This window comes from Homo sapiens, chromosome 11 (genome assembly GCF_000001405.40).
Source record: "Homo sapiens chromosome 11, GRCh38.p14 Primary Assembly".
Classification (NCBI taxonomy): domain Eukaryota; kingdom Metazoa; phylum Chordata; class Mammalia; order Primates; family Hominidae; genus Homo; species Homo sapiens.
Genome location: NC_000011.10, coordinates 17227160 through 17249739, shown reverse-complemented (window position 1 = coordinate 17249739; position 22580 = coordinate 17227160). Strand labels below are relative to the sequence as shown.

General features: G+C 44.4%; 1 pseudogene; it reads right to left on the bottom strand.

Annotated features, from left to right (window-relative positions):
- Positions 20552 to 21489, bottom strand: RPS2P40 (ribosomal protein S2 pseudogene 40; annotated as a pseudogene).

Below are 22580 nucleotides of genomic sequence, written 5' to 3'. Positions count from 1 at the left end.
TGAGCTATGATGTACTCCAGCCTGGGCTATAGTGATACCCTGTCTCAAAAAATAAATTAAAAAAAATGAATAAATGCATGGCCAGAATCCTCAAGTGGACCCTCATTGTTATACAGCCACCCTAATTTCCCTAATCCAATTCACTCTCCCACTCTCCTTAGTACGCCATTTCACTCCTTCTCCTTCTCAACCTCTAATACTCTCCCTCACTGTCAGCTGATAACATTGCTCTTCATATCACTGAGAAAATGTTAGGAATCAAAGAGAATTTCCACATCCTCTCATCAATAAAATCTACTCATTGACCTACATGTCTCTCTACCCGTACACTGTGTCTTCCCATTAACAGTGGATACTTCATTCAAGTGCCCACCTAAGGCCAACTCCCCCATTTGTGTGGTGACTGTAACCACCTCTCCCCTAACTGGTTGGATTTTAGATTCATTAAATGGAATTTGAGATCCCATAAATTCAAGAAACCAAGAATTAAAGGCAAGCATACGCGACAAGTTAAGGAAACTGAGTTGACTCCCAAGTGCAAGGCCGGGGTAGAGGTCCCCAGGATTTTTCACAAGGAGATCAACTGGGCTAAGAATTAGGAGGTCTGTTGGAGGGGTGTTGGAGGTTTTAGTAATGGCTGTGCCACCTGCTGTGTGAACTTGGCCAAGTTACTTAGATCCATGGACTTGGGCAGGTGGTGAGGAGGCCACAGACAAGACCAGCAAAATTAACTTTTGACCCATGGAAGCCCTCTGTAACATAGTCCCTAAATCAGTCAATGTTTTCACAAACAACAGAAATCAACTGAGCTAAGCAGAAAAGAACATGATTAAAAGAATATTGGTGGTTCACAGAATTTCAATAAGGGCAGGAGAATCAGGATCGAAGGTTTTTGCAGCTAGGGACCAAGCTCAAAATCACATCCTAGAGCAATCTGATGAAGACGGTCCAGCTGCTACTGGGCCTACTGGACATCACAGCTTACATTGGGCATCCCCTAAAACTAGACACTGGGTGCCTGCCTCTGAACCTGCTGCCACTGCTACTTCTGAGAATGGATGGAGCTGTGATTCTTGGAGCCACCTCTCTAGAAGAGATTCCACACAGCCCTTGCTAAGCAAGGAATCTCTTGCATCCCCAGCTTCATACCCACTGTCTTTTTCTAAGGAAGCTGCCTCACCCATAGCCCTCTGCTAAGAGAAGGTGTGGGAGCCAAGGATATTGCATAGAGACCGCTACACTTGAGCAAACCATAGGACCCGATTTAAGAACTACAATCCGTCTGGCACAGTGGCTGATGCCTGTAGTCCCAGCACTTTGCGAGGTTGAGGCAGGAGAATTGCTTGAGCCCAGGAGTTCAAGACCAGCCTTGTCAATATAGCAAGATCCCATCTCTATTAAAAAAAAGGAAAGAAAATTTTTTAAAAATTAGGCCAGGCGCAGTGGCTGACGGCTATAATCCCAGCACTTTGGGAGGCCAAGGCGGGTGGATCACTTGAGGTCAGGAGTTTGAGACCAGCCTGGCTAACATGGTGAAACCCTGTCTCTACCAAAACATACAAAAATTTACAGGGCATGGTGGCATGTACCTGTAGTCCTAGCTACTTAGGAGGCTGAGGTGGGAGAATTGCTTGAACCCAGGAAGCGGAGGTTGCAGGAAGCCAAGATCACACCACTGCACTCCAGCCTGGGTGACAGAGTGAGACTCTATCTCAAAAATTTTAAAAAATTAAATTAAATTTAAAAAGAACTACAAACCCATAGACTGGCCTGTGACCTATGAGATGGGCATAATAAAAGTTACATAAGGCAATCTGGCTCTCTGTGTCTCAAATTTGAAATTTGGGAATTTTTTTTTTTTTTTTGAGACGCAGTCTCGCTCTGTCACCTTGGCTCACTGCAATCTCCACCTTCTGGGTTCCAGCCATTCTCCTGCCTCAGACTCCCGAGTAGCTGGGACTACAGGCACGTGCCACCATGCCTAGCTATTTTTTAAAATTATTATTTAGTACAGACGGGGTTTCACCATGTTGGCCAGGCTGGTCTTGAACCCCTGACCTCAGGTGATCCACCCGCCTCAGCCTCCCAAAGTGCTGGGATTACATGTGTGAGCCACCACGCTTGGCCAATTTGGGAAAATGTTAAGAGATTCACCAGTTGGCAGCAGGGGGAAATATAAAAAGACACAGAGAAACAAAGAGAGCTGCAGAAATCTCATGAATGGGGTAATAAGTAAAAATGGATGATAAAATAACCTTGCATTCTGAAGGATGGTTGGTATTAGATTTCTGTGAAACTCTCTCTCCCTTAGTGCTGCATATATCCTCCATTCGAGAACTACAAACAAGGCCGGGCGTGGTGGCTCATGCCTGTAATCCCAGCACTTTGGGAGGCCGAGGCGGGTGGATCACTTGAGGTCAGGAGTTTGAGACCAGCCTAGCCAACATGGCAAAACCCCATCTCTACTAAAAATACAAAAATTAGCTGGGCGTGGTGGCTTGCAACTGTAGTCCTAGCTACTCAGGAGGCTGAGACAGGAGAATCGCTTGAACCTGGGAGGTGGAGGTTGCAGTGAGCAGAGATGGCACCACTGCACTCCAGCCTGGGTGACAAAGCGAGACTCTGTCTCCAAAAAAAAAAAGAACTACAAACAGCTGGGCACAGTGGCTTATGCCTTTAGTCCCAGCCTGCTTGGGTGATGACTACAAAAATTATTAATGTATTAATATTCGAACCTTCACATTAATACATTATATGTTCAAACCTTCTACATTAATACGTTAACTCTCAAACCCTCTAATGAAAGTTCAGTTTTTTCAGGTTGGTTCCTAGACTTTTTTTTTTTTTTTTTTTTTTTTTTTGAGGTGGAGTCTTGCTCTGTCACTCAGGCTGGAGGGCAGTGGCACGATCTTGGCTCACTGCAACATCTGCCTCCTGGGTTCAAGTGATTCTCGTGCTTCAGCCTCCCATGTAGCTGGAATTACAGGCGTGAGTCACCACACCCAGCTAATTTTTGTATTTTTAGTAGAGACAGGGTTTCACTATGTTGGCCAGGCTAGTCTCGAACTCCTGACCTCACGTGACCCACCCGCCTTGGCCTCCCAAAGTGCTGGGATTACAGGTGAGAGCCACCGTGCCCAGATGGTTCCTAGACTTTTATGTTGCAGAATCAAGGAAAAGAGTAAAGAGAATCAGATGGAGAATGAGGAATCTGTTTCTCCAAGTCTGAAATTTTCTCGCTGGAGAAAATGTTGAAAGGAGACTGAAGGAAAGGCTGGGGCAGAAGATTCTTCAGCTACTTAAGCTAGTTGAGTTCAAAGTTGAGCGTGAGAGAAAAATTGAGTGAGAGAACAGTTGCTCCTAAGGGTGAAGAGTACTGAGTGAGGCAGAGGTATGAAGGAAACTTAGATTTTTTTTCTGTATCCTTTCCTTTTTTTTTTTTTTTTTGAGACAGAGTCTTGCTCTGTGGCCCAGGCTGGGGTGCAGTGGTACAATCTCAGCTCACTGAAACCTCTGCCTCCAGGATTCAAGCAATTCTCCCGCCTCAGCCTCCCAAGTAGCTGGGATTACAGGCATGTGCCACCATGCCTGGTTAATTTTTTTGTATTTTTAGTAGAGACGGGTTTTCACTATATTGGCCAGGCTGGTCTCAAACTCCTGACCTTGTGATCCGCCCGCCTCGGCCTCCCAAAGTGCTGGGATTACAGGCGTGAGCCACCGTGCCCGGCCGTGAACATTTTTTAGATGGTTTTTATTAATTAATTGAAATTGTGCCTACTTATACTCCCTCACTTTATGGTGACATGTTCTTGTACAGGTTACCTCCTCTGTGCATCAATTTCCTCCTCTGTAAAATGAGAGTAAGAAAAATACCCATACTATTGCTCAGATTGTTGTGACAATTATCCAGTAGGACAGAGGTAAAATGTGGCACCTGGAAGAGGGTCATCTCTCAACAAAGGTCTGCAATTATCATCTCCTTAAGGACCCTCATTTTACAGATTAGACATTTGAAGCAAAGAGAGGTTAGGCATCCTGCTCAAGGGTCAGAGCCAGGACTTAAAGCCAGGCTTCTGCCTCCAACCCACCCTCTTAACTATTCTCTCTGTGCTGCCTAAACCGGTTCTGGAACCGAGGCCTCTGAAGCTTCCACTGCCTCCACAGAGGATTTTCTGGGCCCTCCTTTTATCATTAGCTTTGGATTTAAGCTGTTTAGTGCATCAGAATGGCTGAGGCTGGCATGTGCTTGGAATATGAGTATCTGCCATTTTCAGCTTGTAGAGTGGGAAGTGACTCTGCCTCTTTCAAGTCTCACCAAGATTCTCCTAACCTAAGAAGTGAGCTTAGAAGCTGAGCAGCCAATGGCCAGGTGTAGTGGCTGACACCTGTAATCCCAACTTTTGGGATGCCAAGGCGGGCGGATCACCTGAGGTCAGGAGTTCGAGACCAGCCTGGACAACATGATGAAACCCGTCTCTACTGAAAAAAAAGAAAAAAAAAAAAAGCCGGATGTGGTGGCCCGCACCTGTAGTCCCAGCTTCTCAGGAGGATGAGGCTGGAGAATCACTTGAACCCAGGAGCCGCAGGTTGCAGTGAGCTGAGATTGTACCACTGCACTCCAGCCTGGGTGACAGAGCGAGACTCCTGTCTCAAAAAAAAAAAAAAAAAAAAAAAAGAAGCTGAGCAGCAAAGGGAGAAATGCCCACTCTTACCACTTCCTTTGTAGTCCTTTCTCAAGGAGAAAGTGAAGCTTGGTGGTTAGGAGCATAGAATCAGGAGCAAACCGCCTAGGCTCTGCTCCTTACTAGCCATATGTCCTCAGGCAATTTACTTATCTCTCTGTGCCTCAGTTTCCTCATTTGTAAAATAGAGATAATAGGTTACTTACCATAGAGTTCTTAAAATGATTAAATGACTTAATATTTATTTGCAAGTACTTATAACAGTGCCTGGCACTACTAAGCGTTATATAAATATTACATAAATATAGAAATCATAGAAATTTTTAAATGAGTCATTTTGTCATGCAGTTTATCCCTTTTCTAGTAATATGTTCAGATACACTAATGTTAAATATATAATAACTTTAAAACTTTCTCAAAGGAAGAAGGGTGGGGAGGGATATAATATATTTAGAAAACACAGATGGGGTTTCTTTTCTCTACAGTTCCCTTCCTCATCCCCGAGTTGTGTGGAACTATGGTTGAGGATACCTGACATTTCTACTCATGTGCCTATGCACAGGACTGATTTATGTTTGGCTACTATTATAAGATCTCCTTCCATACCTGCCTTGTCTTCCGGAGATGCCCCTCCCTAATGCTTGAGCCAACTCCTTTGCCTCAGTCCTGCTCCCAGGCCCTACACTCATGGGATGATCTCCAAGGTGCAGAATACCTGCCTTGCTAACTACACAGATGGGCCAGGCATGGTCTCTGCTCACAGGTCACTCGTATACCAAGAGGATCAGTACTGCTTGGTCTTGAAAACAGGCATTTTTGCTGTGTATGAGAACTTGACCTGCTTTCATGTGGTTCCCTAGAAATAATTACATCCACACTTCTGACCACAATCAGTTACTTATGACTTATATTAAGCCACCCAGGGAAATAATCATTTCCTTAGAAGAAGTTATGTTATGACCAGCCTGGCCAACATGGTGAAACCCTGTCTCTACTAAAAGTACAAAAATTAGCTGGGCATGGTGGTGCATGCCTGTAATCCCAGCTACTCGGGAGGCTGAGGCAGGAGAATCATTTGAACCCAGGAGGCAGATGTTGCAGTGAGCTGAGATCGTGCCACTGCACTCCAGCCTGGGTGACAGAATGAGAACCTGTCTCAAAAAAAAAAAAAAAAAAAAAAAGAAAGAAGAAGTTATGTTAGCTTAATGTTTTATGTAGTTTATGTTTATTTTGGTTACAATTTCATACATATAGCAGGAAAGCTCATCTCTGGAAAGAATTTCAAGCCGCATGACATTATGGAAAATGCTCCTGTCCTGGAAGTCAGACACCTTGGAGTTTAATCCTAGCTCTGCTTCTGTGTAACCAGGGGAGAGTTGCTTCACCTCTTGGGTCCGCTCTTATTTTTCGATGCTCTTTTTGATGGTAAATAGTTTTTGATGCTCTCAAAATCAAAAGCAGGCTTTTACTGAATCAATGAAATGTGGGGACTAGGTACCAGCTAGTCCAATCCCTCATTTTTTTTTAACTCAATGTTTTGTTTTGTTTGTTTGTTTTTATTATTATTATACTTTAAGTTTTAGGGTACATATGCACAACGTGCAGGTTTGTTACATATGTATACATGTGCCATGTTGGTGTGCTGCACCCATTAACTCGTCATTTAACATTAGGTATATCTCCTAACACTATCCCTCCCCGCTCCCTCCACCCCACAACCGTCCCCAGTGTGCGATGTTCCCCTTCCTGTGTCCATGTGTTCTCATTGTTCAATTCCCACCTATGAGTGAGAACATGCGGTGTTTGGTTTTTTGTCCTTGCGGTAGTTTGCTGAGAATGATGGTTTCCAGCTTCATCCATGTCCCTACAAAGGACATGAATTCATCCTTTTTTATGGCTGCATAGTATTCCATGGTGTCTATGTGCCACATTTTCTTAATCCAGTCTATCATTGTGGCACTATTCACAATAGCAAAGACTTGGAACCAATCCCTCATTTTACAGGGAAGAAAAGGGAGGCTAATGTTGATAAACTGGTTCACCATGGTCAGACATCTAGCTGAAATCAAAGTGAAGACTATGTGATGAAGAATTATTCTTTGTTGCTTGCTAGGCCCCAAGCCATTGTGTGCCTGTTGGTTATTATGAAGCAGCCAACAATATTATGCTTAGCTTATTACACAGTTTTCCCCCTTTATTTAGACAGTTCCCTTTGAAGAAAAGAAAGCCCTTGGATTTGTTGTGATTTGCTTTGAGGGATTACAAGCTTTTATCTTAAGTGTTTTGTAATAATTAAAACTTTGAACAGCTTTAAGCATTATTTGGGGGATACAAAAAATTGAGTAAAACTTTCTGAGATGAAAATTTTCTGTTTTATAATTCAATAAGACATTTAGCTTGCAGGAAAAGGGAATATTAAAATGCCTTCATTTGGATTTAAGAATTATAACAGGATTTCCTTTGTGAGAGGAAAAACCACAGTGGCAAGTTTGAGGACTTGAAGGATTTTATTTTTGTAATTAAGTGATAGTTTATTAGCACAGTGGTAATTGTTTCTTCTGACACATTGTACTTTATTCTCATATAACACCATTCATCTAAAGATTACAGATGAATTTTAATCTTGTCTATAACTAAGTTTCACATAATCCATTCATTTTCTTTCTTTTTTAAATTATTTTTTATTTTTTAGACACTGTCGCTCTGTTGCCCCAGGCTGGAGTGCAGTGGCATGATCTCAGCCCACTGCAACCTCTCCCTCCAGGTTCAAGCAATTCTCCTGCCTCAGCCTCCCAAGTAGCTGGGATTAAAAGCATTTGCCGTGACGCCTGGCTAATTTTTGAATTTTTAGTAGAGACAGGGTTTCACTATGTCGGCCAGGCTGGTCTCAAACTCCTAACCTCAAGTGATCTGCCCGCCTCGGCCTCCCAAAGTGCTGGGATTACAGGCATGAGAAACCGCACCTGGCCAATCCATTCATTTTCATTTATCTCTCTCATTTTTTCAGATGAGCAAATATAAATTTTGAAAAATAAGATACTCTCAAATGCCCTGAATTGCCTGTCTCTTATTTCAGCAAATTCAAGTCTGAATATAGCTTGTAAATGTTATCTATTCAAATTCAGCCTCGCCTGTAACAGCAGTGATGATACCATTATGCTAGCTGCCAGTTCAGGGTCTATCAGACTCTGCCTCTCTAAACCAAATAGTTTGAAGCTACCTGGTGCTAAAGCAATCATTCACCCTCCTCTCAGGCTATTTTCTCACTTATCCAGCTCCTGCCCAGTAAGTTCACCAAGCAATTTCTTTCTTTCTTTTTTTTTTTTTTTTTAAGAGTTGGAGTCTCACTCTGTCTCCCAGACTGGAGTGCAGTGGCTCAATCACAGCTCACTGCAGCCTCAAACTCCTGGGCTCAAGAGGTCCTCTGGCCTCAGCCTCCCAAGTAGCTGGGAATAGAGGTGCATGCCACCATGCCCAGCTACACTGACCAGATTCGATTCAGCTGTCTCTGCTTCTGCCTTTGAGCCTCCCCGAGGTTCTCTCTCAGCTTCAGTCTACCTCAGGCAAGACACCTGGCTTAAGCAGCCATTTAGCTAGTGCTGGTCCTGCCCTGGCCCAAAGAGAGGGAGATTTGGACACCTATTACTGCCCTATCCTGACCCATGTCTAGGTATAAAGGGACAAAGACGAACAAAACAAGTCAAAGGCTTGCTCTAAGTCTCTAGATATAGAGGGCCTAAACAGCAAGCATTAGGTTCTGAATTGGACATTTATGACCTTCAAAATAGAAGGGATGATAAATATTATGGATGAATCCTTGTTGAAAACAGAAGTATGGCCAGGCGCAATGGCTCATGCCTGTAATCCTCGCACTTCGGGAGGCCAAGGCCAGAGGATTGCTTTAGCCCAAGAGTTCAAGATTGTGGTAAACTATGATTGGGCCATAATGTTTTCCATCCTGGGTGACAGGAAGGAAGGAAGGAAGTGAGGGAGTGAAGGAGGGAGGGGAGGGGAGTGAAGAGGGGAGAGAGGGAGGAAAGGAAGGAAGGGGAGGAAGAGAGAGAGAAAGGAAGAAAGGAAGGAAAGGAAGGAGGGAAGGAAGGAGAAAGAGGAAGGAAGGAAGAGGAGGGAAGGAGGGAAAGGAAGGGAAGGAAGGAAGGAAAGAAAGAAAGTAGAAGTGTAACTGGAAGTGTTGATGGTTGTTTGCAGCTTTGCTGCTCAAAGTGTGACCCAGCAGCATCAGTATCAATTGAGAGCTTGTTAGAAATTTGGCATCTCAGGCTGGGAGCAGTGGCTCTTGCCTGTAGTCCCAGCACTTTGGGAGGCTGAGGCGGGTGGATCACTTGAGGTCAAGAGTTCAAGACCAGCCTGGGCAACATAGTGAAACCCTGTCTCTACCAAAAATACAAAAATTAGCTGGCTGTGGTAGTCCATGCCTGTAATCCCAGCTACTCGGGAGGCTGAGGCAGGAGAATCGCTTGAACCTGGGAGGCAGAGGTTGCAGTGAGCCACGATCTCACCACTGCACTCCAGCCTGGGCAACAGAGAAAGACTCTTTCTCAAAAAAAAAAAAAAAAGGCATCTCATGCTCCCTCCTAGACCTAATGAATCCAAATCTACATTGTAATAAGACCCTTCAGGTGATTTTTCTTGGCACTGTCTATATTAGTCTGGTGGGGCTGCCATAACAAAATTTCACAACTTGAGTGGCTTAAACAACAGAAATTTATTTTCCTGAAGTTCTGGAGACTGGAAGTCAAGATCAAGTTGTCAGCAGGTTTGGTTTCTTCTGAGGCCCCTCTCCTTGCTTTGTAGATGGCTGCTTTCTTTCTTTTTCTTTTTTTTTTTTTTTTTTTTTTTTTTGAGACAAAGTCTCACTTCCACGCCCAGGCTGGAGTGCAGTGGCATAATCTCAGCTCACTGCAGCCTCGACTTCCTGGGCTCAAGTGATCCTCCCACCTCTGCTTCTGGGGTAGCTGGGACCACAGACATGCACCACCATGCCCAACTAATTTTTTGTACTTTTTGTAGAGACAGGGTTTCACCATGTTGCCCAGGCTGGTCTTGAACTCCTGGGCTCAAGTGATCGACCCGCCTCAGCCTCCCAAAGTGCTGAGATTCCAGGTGTAAGCTTTCACGCCTTGCTAAGATGACTGCTTTCTTACTGTTTCCTCATATGGCCCTTTCTCTGTGTGTGCATCCCTAGTGTCTCTCTGTGTGTCCTAATCTCCTCTTCTTATGAGGACATCAGTCGGATTGAATTAGGGCCCCCTAACCATCTCATTTAACTTAGTCATCTCTTTAAAGGTCCTATCTCCAAATACAGTCACTTTCTGAGGTACTGAGGGTTAGGACTTCAAAATATGATATGTCAGTGGGGATATAATTCTGCCCATAACAGTGTGTAAAGCAAGTCTGGCTTGATCTGTCCTTTCCTTTGAAAGTCCCCAGCATGACCAGAGCCTCAGAGATGATAGACTTGGGCTGCCCAAAGTACACAAGAGCCAAATGCCAAATGCTAATCCAGTCATCAACAGAGAGACATCACTGTCATAGGATTGACATATTTGAAAGATACATGCCCTCATTTCTCTCTGTTGACTTACCTAGGAGGCTAGATCCTCCTCAGGTCACCAAGTAAACCTGGCATGTTTACCCCTTCTCAATGACACTGTATTTCTCTAGATACCTTAATGCAATCCATAGTGTCAGCATATTACCAACCTGGGAAACCTTTAGTCTCCTTCATCCACTTCTTAAAAGCAATCCTATGTCTCTCATTTTCTCAGGTTGGGGTGCATATCCTGGTAACCCCCAAACAATGTGATATAACCATACACCACTCACCTGATCTTATTTTTATTTATTTATTTTTTGTGTGTGTGAGGTGGAGTCTCGCTCTGTTGCCCAAGCTGGAGTGCATTGGCGCAATCTCAGCTCACTGCAACCTCCACCTCCCAGGTTCAAGTGATTCTCCTGCCTCAGCCTCCCTAGTAGCTGGGATTACATGCACATGCCACCATGCCAGGCTAATTTTTGTATTTTTGTTAGAGATGGGGTTTCGTCACGTTGGCCAGGCTGGTCTTGAACTCCTGACCTCAAGCGATCTGCCCACCTCTGCCTCCCAAAGTGCTGGGATTACAGGCGTGAGCCACCTCGCCTGGTCTCCATAATCTTATTTAATCTTATTTATGTTGTGAGACAACAACACTATGCAATAGATACTATTATCCCCATTTTACAAGTGAGGAAAGTGAGGCTCAGGGATATTAAGGAACTTATTTAATGTTACACATTTGGTAGTAGGAGGTCAGAATTTAAGCCAGCTCCAAAGCCTGTGGTTTTAGGTCCTGCACTATACACACCACCTCTTTGGCCTTTTCCTCAGGCAAGCTCCAAACCTGCTTTGCAAGCTATTATGTACAGACTTGTGACTGACTTGTTTTCCTGCTCCTGCACGTGGTTCATATGTCATGTGTCAACCTCATCATTATGATCACTATCATCTTCGTCATTATTAACATTTGCTGAAAGCTGTCACGTTGCTAGGCAATTTAAGTTTAATTCCTCATGTGCAGCTTCTATCTGCATGCTTTTCCTTTAAATAATCACACTGCTAGGAATACAGTACTTCTTTTTGAAAGTATGACACCACAAGCAACTGTTAAGGTATTTGTTTTAGTGCTGGAAGCTGGAGAGAACAACCATTTTGCTCAGTTATTCACCATGCACAATTGGTCCTCTGGTTTCACCCTTCATGCTTGATGCCTTCAAAGATCAAGATAAATCCTTTTAGCCAAAATAAAAATAAATCCAAAGGAACTTAATCTGTGGGCCTATTACTGCTCAGTGTTGAATGACTGTGCTTTTATTCTAGTCAGATTTCTTTTTAAATTTTAAAATGTGGCTGGGCGCAATGGCTCACTCTTGTAGTCCCAGCACTTTGGGAGGCTGAGACGGGCAGATCACCTGAGGTCAGGAGTTTGAGACCAGCCTGGCCAACATAGTGAAACCCTGTCTCTACTAAAAATACAAAAATTAGCCATGCGTGGTGGTGCATGCCTGTAATCCCAGCTACTCAGGAGGCCGAGGCCAAAGAACTGCTTGAACCCAGGAGGCGGAGGTTGCAGTGAGCCAAGATCGTGCCACTGCACTCCAGCCTGGGCGACAAAGCAAGACTCTATCTCAAAAAAAATAAATAAATAAATAAATAAAATAAATTAATTAATTAAATTAAATTTTAGAATGCTAAGATTTGTTATTGGAATTTACAGTTTTGCTGCCTAATCTTCAGATCATGGATTTTTATATCAGTCAGTAAATGAATGTAAAGGAAGACAGATTGTTTTGTATTTGAAGTTTGGTTAATATACTTACCAGTTTTGGTCACTTTGGGAATGTTACTTAACTTCAGAGTCTCAGTTAATCTCCCTATTACAATGGGTTACTCAACTTTTTGTTTGTTTGTTTTTTGGGGTTTTTTTTTTTTTTTTTTTTTTTTTTGAGATGGAGTCTTACTCTGTCGCCCAGGCTGGAGTGCAGTGGTGAGATCTCAGCTCAGTGAAACCTCTGCCCCCCAGGTTCAAGTGATTCTCCTGCCTTAGCCTCCTGAGTAGCTGGGATTACAGGTGGGCACCATCACAGCTGGCTAATTTTTGTATTTTTAGTAGAGACAGGGCTTCACCATGTTGGCTGGGCTGGTCTCAAACTCTTGACTTCAGGTTATCCACCCACCTTGGCCTCCCAAAGTGTTGGGATTACAGGCGTGAGCCACTGCGCCTGGCCAATGGGTTAATCAACTCTTAAAAGACTTTTTATTTTTTAGAGATAAATACTGAATAAAATGATATGATGGCCAGGAGTTGCTTCAAGTCATCCAAGTATAGGGGAAAGTGGGTGGGTATACAGTTGAAACAAGACAATATACTGATCATGATCATAGCTCAAGTTGGGTGAGGGGTACACAGAGATTCTTATACTATTCTCCCTATTTTTCTATATGTTTGAAATTTTTCTATTTTTTCTTTTCTGTAAGAGATGGAGTCTTGCTCTGTGTCCCAGGCTGGAGTACAATGGCGCGATCTCAGCTCACTGTAACCTCCGCCTCTGGCGTTCAAGCGATTATCCTGCCTCAGCCTCCTAAGTAGCTGAGACTACAGGCATGTGCCACCACGCCTGGCTAATTTTTTGTATTTTTAGTAGAGACGGGGTTTCACCGTGTTAGCCAGGATGGTCTCAATCTCCTGACCTTGTGATCTGCCCGCCTCGGCCTCCCAAAGTGCTGAGATTACAGGTGTGAGCCACTGCGCCCGGCTGCGCTTTCTCTAAATTAGCAGAGACAAATTTGGAGTCAGGCTGACTGAAGCTCTTACTTTTCAACTGAGTAACTTGTTTGGTCTGCTCTATAACTAATGTGTCAACAATGCATGGAGTACTAGTTCAGGATTAAGAACTGACTCTCTTGGAGGAGGAGGGAGGAAAGTTCTGATTTGTAACATTTGCAGGGGTAAATACTTCCACCATTGCCAATCTTGCCATGTCACTGAGTACAGAATTGGGAGATGTACAGTTACTGCATACCATTACCTAGGATTTCTACTATACAGATGCAGTAGATATAAGTAACCTCAAAACATAGATCACAGTGAAATGTAGCAAAAATAATTAAGAAGTGACGAGTTTTGATAATGTTTTTGCCTTTGTTCTTAAATTTTTTTTTTTTTAAGACAAGGTCTGGCTCTGTCTCCCAGGCTGGAGTGCAGTGGCACGATCTCAGCTCACTGTAACCTCTGGGGCCCAGGCTCAAGCAATCCTCCTACCTCAGCCTCCTCAGTAGCTGGGACTACAGGCATGCACCACTATGCCTGACTACTTTTTGTATTTTTTGTACAGATGGGGTTTTGCCATGTTGCCCAGGCTAGCCTTGAACTCCTGGGCTGAAGCAATCTGCCTGCCTCAGCCTCCCAAAGTTCCAGGATAGCAGGCGTGAGCCACTGTGCCTGGCCACATAAGTTAATTCTTTTTTTAATTTTAATTTTAATTTATTTATTTTTGAGATAGGGTCTTGCCCGGTTGCCCAGACTGGAAAGGAGTGGTGCCATCATAGCTCACTGAAGCCTTGAACTCCTGGGTTCAAGAAATCCTCTTGTCTCAGCTTCCCGAGTAGCTGGGACTACAGGTGCACACCACCTTGCCCAGCTAATTTTATTTTAATTTATTTTTATAGTAGAGACAGGGTCTTGCTATGTTGCCCAGGTTGGTGTTGAACTCCTGGGCTCAAGTAACCCTCCTGGCTCGGCCTCCCAAAATGCTGGGAATCTAGCCATGAGCCACCATACTCAGCCGAGAAGCTTACTGTTAAAGAGATCCACTGTTCACTTTGTTGAGGGCAACCAAGAGGGAAAGTTTTTTACACAAGGAGGATTCCAGCCCTTTGTTAGAGCCAGCAATACAGCCTGAGAGGTGAAGGGTTTAATATCCAAGGAAATGACTGAATCAGGATTCGATCAAGAACATCTTAGCACATCCTCAAGGTTCTATAGGTATTGAAAGTTCCACAATGTGCTGTGTGATAATGTGCTATTGAGAGAGAGAATAAAGACATGCCCAGAGCATAGGCTGTTTTCTTTGTGGTATGTCAGAGGACAGAGCACTTCTTACATAAGAGGGCTAATAAGCATATTTTGGATCCTACTTATAGCATTTCTGAGCCATTCTGTCCTGGGCATCTTCTAAGATTTTACAGCTTGGAGAAACAGAGACAGTTCACTTAAGAGGTTTATCTTTCTGTCATGAACTATACATATTAAATCTGGATGGGTAGCAATTTAATCATTTCCCGTCAAAGATGGCTGCATTCAAATGAAGCCTCTAAAGAGTATAAAATATATCATGATCATTTAAGAGTTTAAGAGTTTCAGTCTCTGAGTATGCATCCTTGAAGTAGCATTATATTTCAGCCTTAAAAATGTTCATATCCTTTGACTTTGTAAAATTCTATATAAAGGAAAGAATCCCAAATATGTAAAAAGTTTTATGACGGCCAGATGCAGTGGCTCATGCCTGTAATCCCAGCACTTTGGGAGGCCAAGGTGGGTGGATAATTTAAGGTCAGGAGTTCAAGACCAGCCTGGTCAACATGATGAAACCCCATCTCTACTAAAGATACAAAAATTAGCTGGGCATGGTGGCAGGTGCCTGCAATCCCAGCTACTCGGGAGGTTGAGGCACAAGAATCGCTTGAACCTGGGAGGCAGAGGTTGCAGTGAGCCAAGATCAAGCCACTGCACTCCAGCCTGAGCGACAGAGTGAGACTACTCTGTCTCAAAAAAAAAAAAAAAAAAAAAAGAGTTGGCCGGGCGCAGTGGCTCACGCCTGTAATCCCAGCACCTTGGGAGGCCGAGGTGGGCAGATCACAAGGTCAGGAGTTCGAGAACAGCCTGGCCAACACAGTGAAACCCAGTCTGTACTAAAAATACAAAAAATTAGTTGGGCGTGGTGGCAGGGCGTGGAGGCAGGGGAATCTCTTGAACCTGGGAGGCGGAGGTTGCAGCGAGCTGAGATTGCACCAGTGCACACCAGCTGGGGTGACAGTGCGAGACTCCGTCTCAAAAAAAATAAAAAATAAAAATTAAAAACAATGTTTTATGACAAAGTATTTACCAAAACATTATTTGTAACAGTGTAAAAGTGGTAAAAACCTAAAGGTACAATAATAGAAGATATATTAATTATGGTATTTCAACCAGATGGGCCATTATGCAGGCATTTAAAAGGATGTTTCTGAATAATTTATAAACCCCCAGAAAAACACTTAATAATATAACATTGTTATTAAAAATTGAGACATAGGCTGGGTGCAGTGGCTCACATCTGTAATCCTAGCACTTTGGGAGGCTGAGGTGGGCAGATCACGTGAAGCCAAGGGTTTGAAACCAGCCTGATCAACATAGCAAGACCCTATCTCTATAAAAAATAAAAAATAAAATTAGCCAGGTGCAGTGGCACATGCCTATAATCTCAGCTACTTGGGAGGCTGAGGCAGGAGGCTCACTTGAGTCAAGGAAGTCGAAGCTGCAGTGAGCTATGATGACACCATGGCACTCCAGCCTGGGCAACAGAGCAAGACATTGTTTCCTAAAACAAAACAAGGCTGAGTGTGGTGGCTCACACCTGTAATCCCAACATTTTGGGAGCCAAGGCGGGTGGATCATCTGAGGTCAGGAGTTCCAGACCAGTCTGGCCAACATGGTGAAACTTCGTCTCTACTAAAAATACAAAAATTAGCCAGGTGTGGTGGTGGGTGCCTGTAATCCCAGCTACTCGGGAGGCTGAGGCAGGAGACTCCCTCAAAACGGGGAGGTGGAGGTTGCACTCCACTCCAGCCTAGGTGACAGAGCGAGACTCTGTCTCAAACAAAACAAAACAAAAAAACCTACAAAACATAAAATTGGATATACAATATGATTACAACACACACACACACACACACATACACCTAGGCTTAATTTTTTAAAAGCCAGGGGGAGGAAATAAACAAAAATGTTAATAGAGGTTACCTTTGGTTATGAGAATATAAGAGGATTGGAATTATTTTCCCTCATCCTTTCCATATGTATTTTTCCAACTTTTTTGTAAAGAACCTACTGTGTATTTTCCTGTTGTTTCTTCATCTGTTCTTTGCCCTATGTAACTCTTAGAGTCCCAGGCAGCAGTGGCACAGCAGCTGTGCTGTGGAAGGATTAGTATAATACCAAAGGAATGGAGGCTGGAACTCACCATCTTAAGAACCAAAAGAGGACTCATCCAAAGCTAATGTCAGACAATGTTTCTCATGTGAACTTTTAATTTGCTTAGAATTTGTCAAAGTTACAGAAGTCCCTAAATGACAACTAAGTAGCAGGCTTAGAAAACAACCTATCCACATTAAAGGAGCCTAAGGACAGAGCTCCAAGATCAGAGCATCTCCAGGAAAACATAAACGGTCTGATATGTTTGACTCCAAAAGCCTGCAATGAGAAGCTGTTGGAGTTTATGGGAAGAATTAACAACAGATATATAGAAAATTAAGCCAGGCGTGGTGGCTCACGCCTGTAATCCCAACACTTTGGGAGACTGAGGCGGGTGGATTTCCTGAGGTCAGGAGTTCAAGACCAGCCTGGCCAACATAGTGAAACCCTGTCTCTACTAAAAATACAAAAAATTAGCTGAGCGTGGTTGCGGGTGCCTGTAATCCCAGCTACTCGGGAGGCTGAGACAGGAGAATCGCTTGAACCCAAGGGGCAGAGGTTGCAGTGAGCCAAGACTGCGGCACTGCACTCTAGCCTGGGTGACAAGAGCAAAACTCAATCTCCAAAAAAAAAGAAAAAGAAAAGAAAAGAAAATTAAGCAAATTTTAAAATGAGGCAATTATTAAATCTGGAGAAAAACAAATGTTAAGGAAACATAATTTATGTACACTACATGGCTCAGTAGTAAATGATACTTAGTCATATTGAATTAAGTAAACAAGTTTACATAACTATATTGGAAAAAAGGGAGGAGTGGAACAGAGTGATTGAAGGATGCTAAATCTTTTCCTGCCATAATTACAAAGTAATGATAATTTTAGAAGACAAATTAAGAAATAACATTACTAGGCCGGGCACAGTGGCTCATACCTGTAATCCCAGCACTTTGGGAGGTCGTGGCAGGTGGAAACCCTGTCTCTACTAAAAATGCAAAAAGTAGCTGGGTGTAGTGGTGCATGCCTGTAGTCCCAGCTACTTGGGAGGCTGAAGCATGAGTATCACTTGAACCCTGAAGGCGAAGGTTGCAATGAGCCAAGATCACACCTCTGCACACCGGCCTAGGTGACAGAGTGAGACCTTGTCTCAATAAATAAAAAATAAAATAGGCTGGGCACAGTGGCTCATGCCTGTAATCCCAAAAGTTTGGGAGGCCAAGGCTGGTGGATCACTTGAGGCCAGGAGTTCCAGACCAGCCTGGCCAACATGGTGAAACTCTGTCTCTACTAAAAACACAAAAATTAGTTAGGCATGGTGGCGCATGCTTGTGATCCCAGCTTCTTGGGAGGCTGAGGCAGGAGAATTGCTTGAACCTGGGGAGTGGAGGTGGCAGTGAGCCGAGATCATACCACTGCACTCTAGCCTGGGCGACAGAGCGGGACTCTGTCTCAAAACATATATATATAAAATAAAATAACACGATTAGCATATTACTTAAGAATGTGGGTTCATGGACCAGAAGAACTAAAAGTGTTGAAAATGGCTGTCTGTAGGGAGCAGGATTGGGGGACAAAGAGGATAGGATAGGGCTTTGGACATTACAAACCTTGTAGAAATGCATTATTTGACTTTTTAACCTTATGTAGATTTCATGTTGATTAAAAAAGAAACCACAAAACCACAATGAGATACCACCTGACACCCATTAGTATGGCTACTATAAAAAGGAAGAAAATAGAAAATAGTAAGTTTCGATTAGGATGTGGAAAAATTGGAACCCTTATTTTTGGCTGGTGGAAATGTAAAATGGTGCAGCCACTATGGAAAACAGTGTAGTGGTTCCTCAAAACATTAAAAATAGAATTACTATACAATCTAGCAATTCCACTTCTGGGTATATACCCAAAAGAACTGAAAACAAGGTCTCAAAAAAAAAAAAGTTTTTATATATCCATGTTCATAGCAGCATTATTCATAATAGCCAAAAGGTGGAACACAACCAAGTGTCCACCAATAGGTAAATGGATAAACAAAGTGTGATATACATATGCAATGGAATATTATTTAGCCTTAAAAAAGAAAGAAATTCTGACACATGCTACAACATGGATGAACCTTGAGGACATAATGCTAAGTGAAATAAGCCAGTCACAAAAAGGCAAATACTGTATGATTCCACTTATGTGAAGTACCTGGAGTAGTCAAATCAATAGAGACAGAAAGTAGAATTGTGGTTGCCAGGGACTAGGTGGGAGGGGGAAGTGGGAGTTGTTTAATGGGTACAGACTTTCAGTTTCACAAGATGAAAAGAGTTCTGGAGATGGATGGTGGTGATGGTTGTGCAATGACATGAATGTCCTTAATATCACTGAACCGTATACTTAAAAACGATTAAGATGGTAATTTTTATGTTATGTTTTATCACCTTTTTTTTTTTTGTTTTTTGAGACAGTCTCATTCTGTTGCCTAGGCTGGAGTGGAGTGGCATGATCTCTGCTCACTGCAACCTCCTCCTCCCAGGTTTAAGTGATTCTCCTGCCTCAGCCTCCTGAGTAGCTGGGATTACAGGCACGTGCCGCCATGCCCAGCTAATTTTTGTATTTTTAGTAGAGATGGGGTTTCGCCATGTTGGCCAGGCTGGTCTCGAACTCCTGACCTCAGGTGATCTGCCCACCTCAACCTCCCAAAGTGCTGAGATTAACAAGCATGAGCCACCACACCTGGCCCATAAATGGGAAATTTAAGCTGAGTCTTCAGCGTCAAATAATGTTTACACAAACTGACATTCTGTACCTTGAAAAGGACTCAAAAAAGTGAAAGTTTTCTATTGTGACCTGTCTCAACTTCAGATTTATGCCCTAAAGTCTCAGAGAGGAAAGAGCTGCTCAGGGATTTCAAAGGAAGGCGGAAATACAATACTTCGGAAATTAGACGGCATTTTCTTTGAAAAAGGAATCTCTTTGCCTGAACCTCCCATTTTTGTTTGTTAGTTTTCTTTCTTTTGTTTTGTTTTGGATTTTTTGTTTTGCCTTTAATCAACATGGACCTGGCTCCCTCTGCTGGAGCTAAAGTAAAATGCTGCTTTAAAAATCAATTTGGGGCCAGATGCCTTGGCTTAGGCTTGTAGTCCCAGCAATTTGGGAGGCCTAGGGGGGCGGATCACTTGAGCCCTGGAGTTCCAGACCAACGTGGGCAACATGGCAAAACCCTGTCTTTACAAAATATGAAAATTCACCAGATGTGGTGGTGTGCGTCTGTAGTCTCGGCTACTCGGGAGGCTAAGGCAGGAGGATTTCCTGAACCGGGGAGGCAGAGGTTGCAGTGAGCAGAGATGGCATCACTGCACTCCAGCCTGGGAGACAGGAGTGAAACCCTGCCTCAAAGAAAAAAAAAATTAGCTGTACACATGAGTCCTAGCTACTTGGGAGGCTGTGGTAGGAGGATTGCTTGAGCCCAGGAGTTTGAGACCAGCCTGGGCAAGATGAAGAGACCCCCATCTCTACAAAAAAAGTTTTTAAAAAATAGCTGTGTGTGGTGGCAACTGCCTATGGTCCCAGCTACTCAGGAAGCTGAGGCAAGAAGATCCCTTGAGCCCAGGAGTTAAGGCTGCAGTGAGCTATGATCTGGTCACTGCACTCCAGCCTGGGCAAGAGAGTGAGACACCGTCTTGCTCTGGTGATTCATTACCATTGAATCTCTTGAATTATATCAATAATCACTTGGGTACTGAATGTCTCCTGTGTGTATAGCAATACTCAGGGCCCCGGAGGAGGCCAAGAACTGCCATGTTTCCCCCCTCAGGATCTGTGGGTTTTTTGTTTTGTGTTGTTTTTGAGACAGAGTCTTGCTCTGTCACCCAGGCTGGAGTGCAGCGGCACGATCTTGGCTCACTGCAACCTCCACCTCCCAGGTTCAAGCGATCTTCCCGCCTCAGCCTCCCAAGTAGCTGGGATTACAAGCATGCACCACCACGCCTGGCTAATTTTTGTATTTTTTTAGTAGAGACTGGGTTTCACCATGTTGGCCAGGCCGGTCTCAAACTCCTGACCTCAGGTGATCCACCTGCCTCGGCCTCCCAAAGTGCTGGGATTACAGGTGTGAGCCACCATGCCCAGCCATGGATCTGGGTGTAATTTTTTTTTTCACGCTTAATTCACTTTATTTTTCTTGTATAAAAACCCTATGTTGTAGCCACAGCTAGAGCCTGGGTCCACTGCACGGAGACTCTGGTGTGGGTCTTGACGAGGTGGTCAGTGAATTCCTGATAGGTAGACTTGGTAAATACAGTCTCCTTCCAGAGGTCAGGGGTCAGGTAGCTGTAGGTCTTAGAAATTGCATCAAAGGTGGCCTTGGTGAAGTTGCCCAGGGTGGCAGTGCAGCCCCGGTCTGAGGTGTAGCAGTCATCGATACCAGCCATCATGAGCAGCTCCTTGGGCACAGGTGCGGAGACGATGCCAGTGCCCCTGGGTGCAGGGATGAGGCGCACCAGCACAGAGCCGCAGCGGCCTGTCACCTTGCAAGGGACGGTGTGGGGCTTGCTGATCTTGTTCCCCCAGTAGCCTCTGCGCACGGGGACAATAGAGAGCTTGGCCAGGATGATGGCCCCACGGATGGCGGTGGCCACCACTTTGGAGCACTTAACACCCAGACCGACGTGGCCATTGTAGTCCCCGACAGCAACAAACGCCTTGAACCTGGTGCGCTGGCCGGCACGGGTCTGCTTCTGCACTGGCATAATCTTCAAAATCTCATCCTTGAGAGAAGCCGCCAGGAAAAAGTCAATGATCTCTGATTCCTTAATGGGCAGGGAGAAGAGATAGATCTCCTCCAGGGACTTGATCTTCACGTCTTTGACAAAGCGGCCCAGCTTGGTGACGGGCATCCACTCCTTATCCTCGGCCTTGCCTCCGCGAGCTCTGCGGCCCTGGCCCAGGCCCAGTCCACGGCCGCTACCCTGGCCCCGGATGCCACTGCCGAAACCTCCGCGGAAGCCACCGCGGTTCCCCATCCCAGGGCCACCAGGGCCTCCGGGCCCCCCAACTGCACCGGCGTCACGCCATTTGGTGTTTTCTCAGAGAAGAGGCGGATCTGGGGTTTTTAAGGGAACATGGATGCTGTATACAGTGATTAGCATGGTGTCTAACATATAGTAAGTCCTCTGTAAATGTTCACTTACTCTACTGAGTGCGGCTTCTGTTCAGGGCTAGAATCTCTGATCCAGGCCTGACGGAACTTTTTTTTCAGATGGATTCCTCCTGGCCTCTGCTAAATTGTCAATACCATGAGAACAGGAACAAAGTCTTATTCATGCTCCATCCCTAGTTCTTAGGATACCTGGCACATGAAACACACTCAAAACATTTTGTTGAGTTAATGATGTCTCAAGGAAACTCACTCTACCCTTTGCTTGCTCCCATTGTTTAAAAAAGGGAGGTGACTGGCCGGGTGCAGTGGCTCACGCCCGTAATCCCAGAACTCTGGGAGGCCGGGGCGGGCAGATCACCTGAGGTCAGGAGTTCGAGACCAGCCTGACCAACATGGAGAAACCCCGTCTGTACTAAAAACATAAAAAATTAACCAGGTGTGGTGGCCAGCGCCTGTAGTCCCAGCTACTTGGGAGGCTGAGCCAGGAGAATGGCGTGAACCCAGGAGGCGGAGCTTGCAGTGAGCTGAGATTGTGTCACTGCACTCCAGCCTGGGTGACAGAGCAAGACTCCATCTGAAAAAAAAAAAAAAAAAAGGGAGGGGATGCCAGGTATAGTGGCTCATGCCTGTAATTCTAGCACTTTGGGAGACTGAGCTGTGATCGTGCCGCTATACTCCAGCCTGGGTGACAGAGTGAGACCCTATCTCAACAACAACAACAACAAAAAGAAAAAAAAAAGGAGGTGAAATATATCTTCCTATGACGTGTTTTGCCTAATCTAAGTGGTTCTCAAAAAATGTAAGTTCCCTTTCTACCTCCCCTTCTTGTCCTTCTATCATTGCCCTTTTCTTCTACCCTTTTCTTCTTCTTCATTTTTTTTTAAGACAGAGTCTTGCTCTGTCGCCCAGGCTGGAGTGCAGTGGTGCGATCTAGGCTTACTGCAACCTCTGCTTCCCGGGTGCCAGTGATTCTCCTGCCTCAGCCTCCTGAGTAGCTGGGACTCCAGGCATGCACCACCACGCTCAG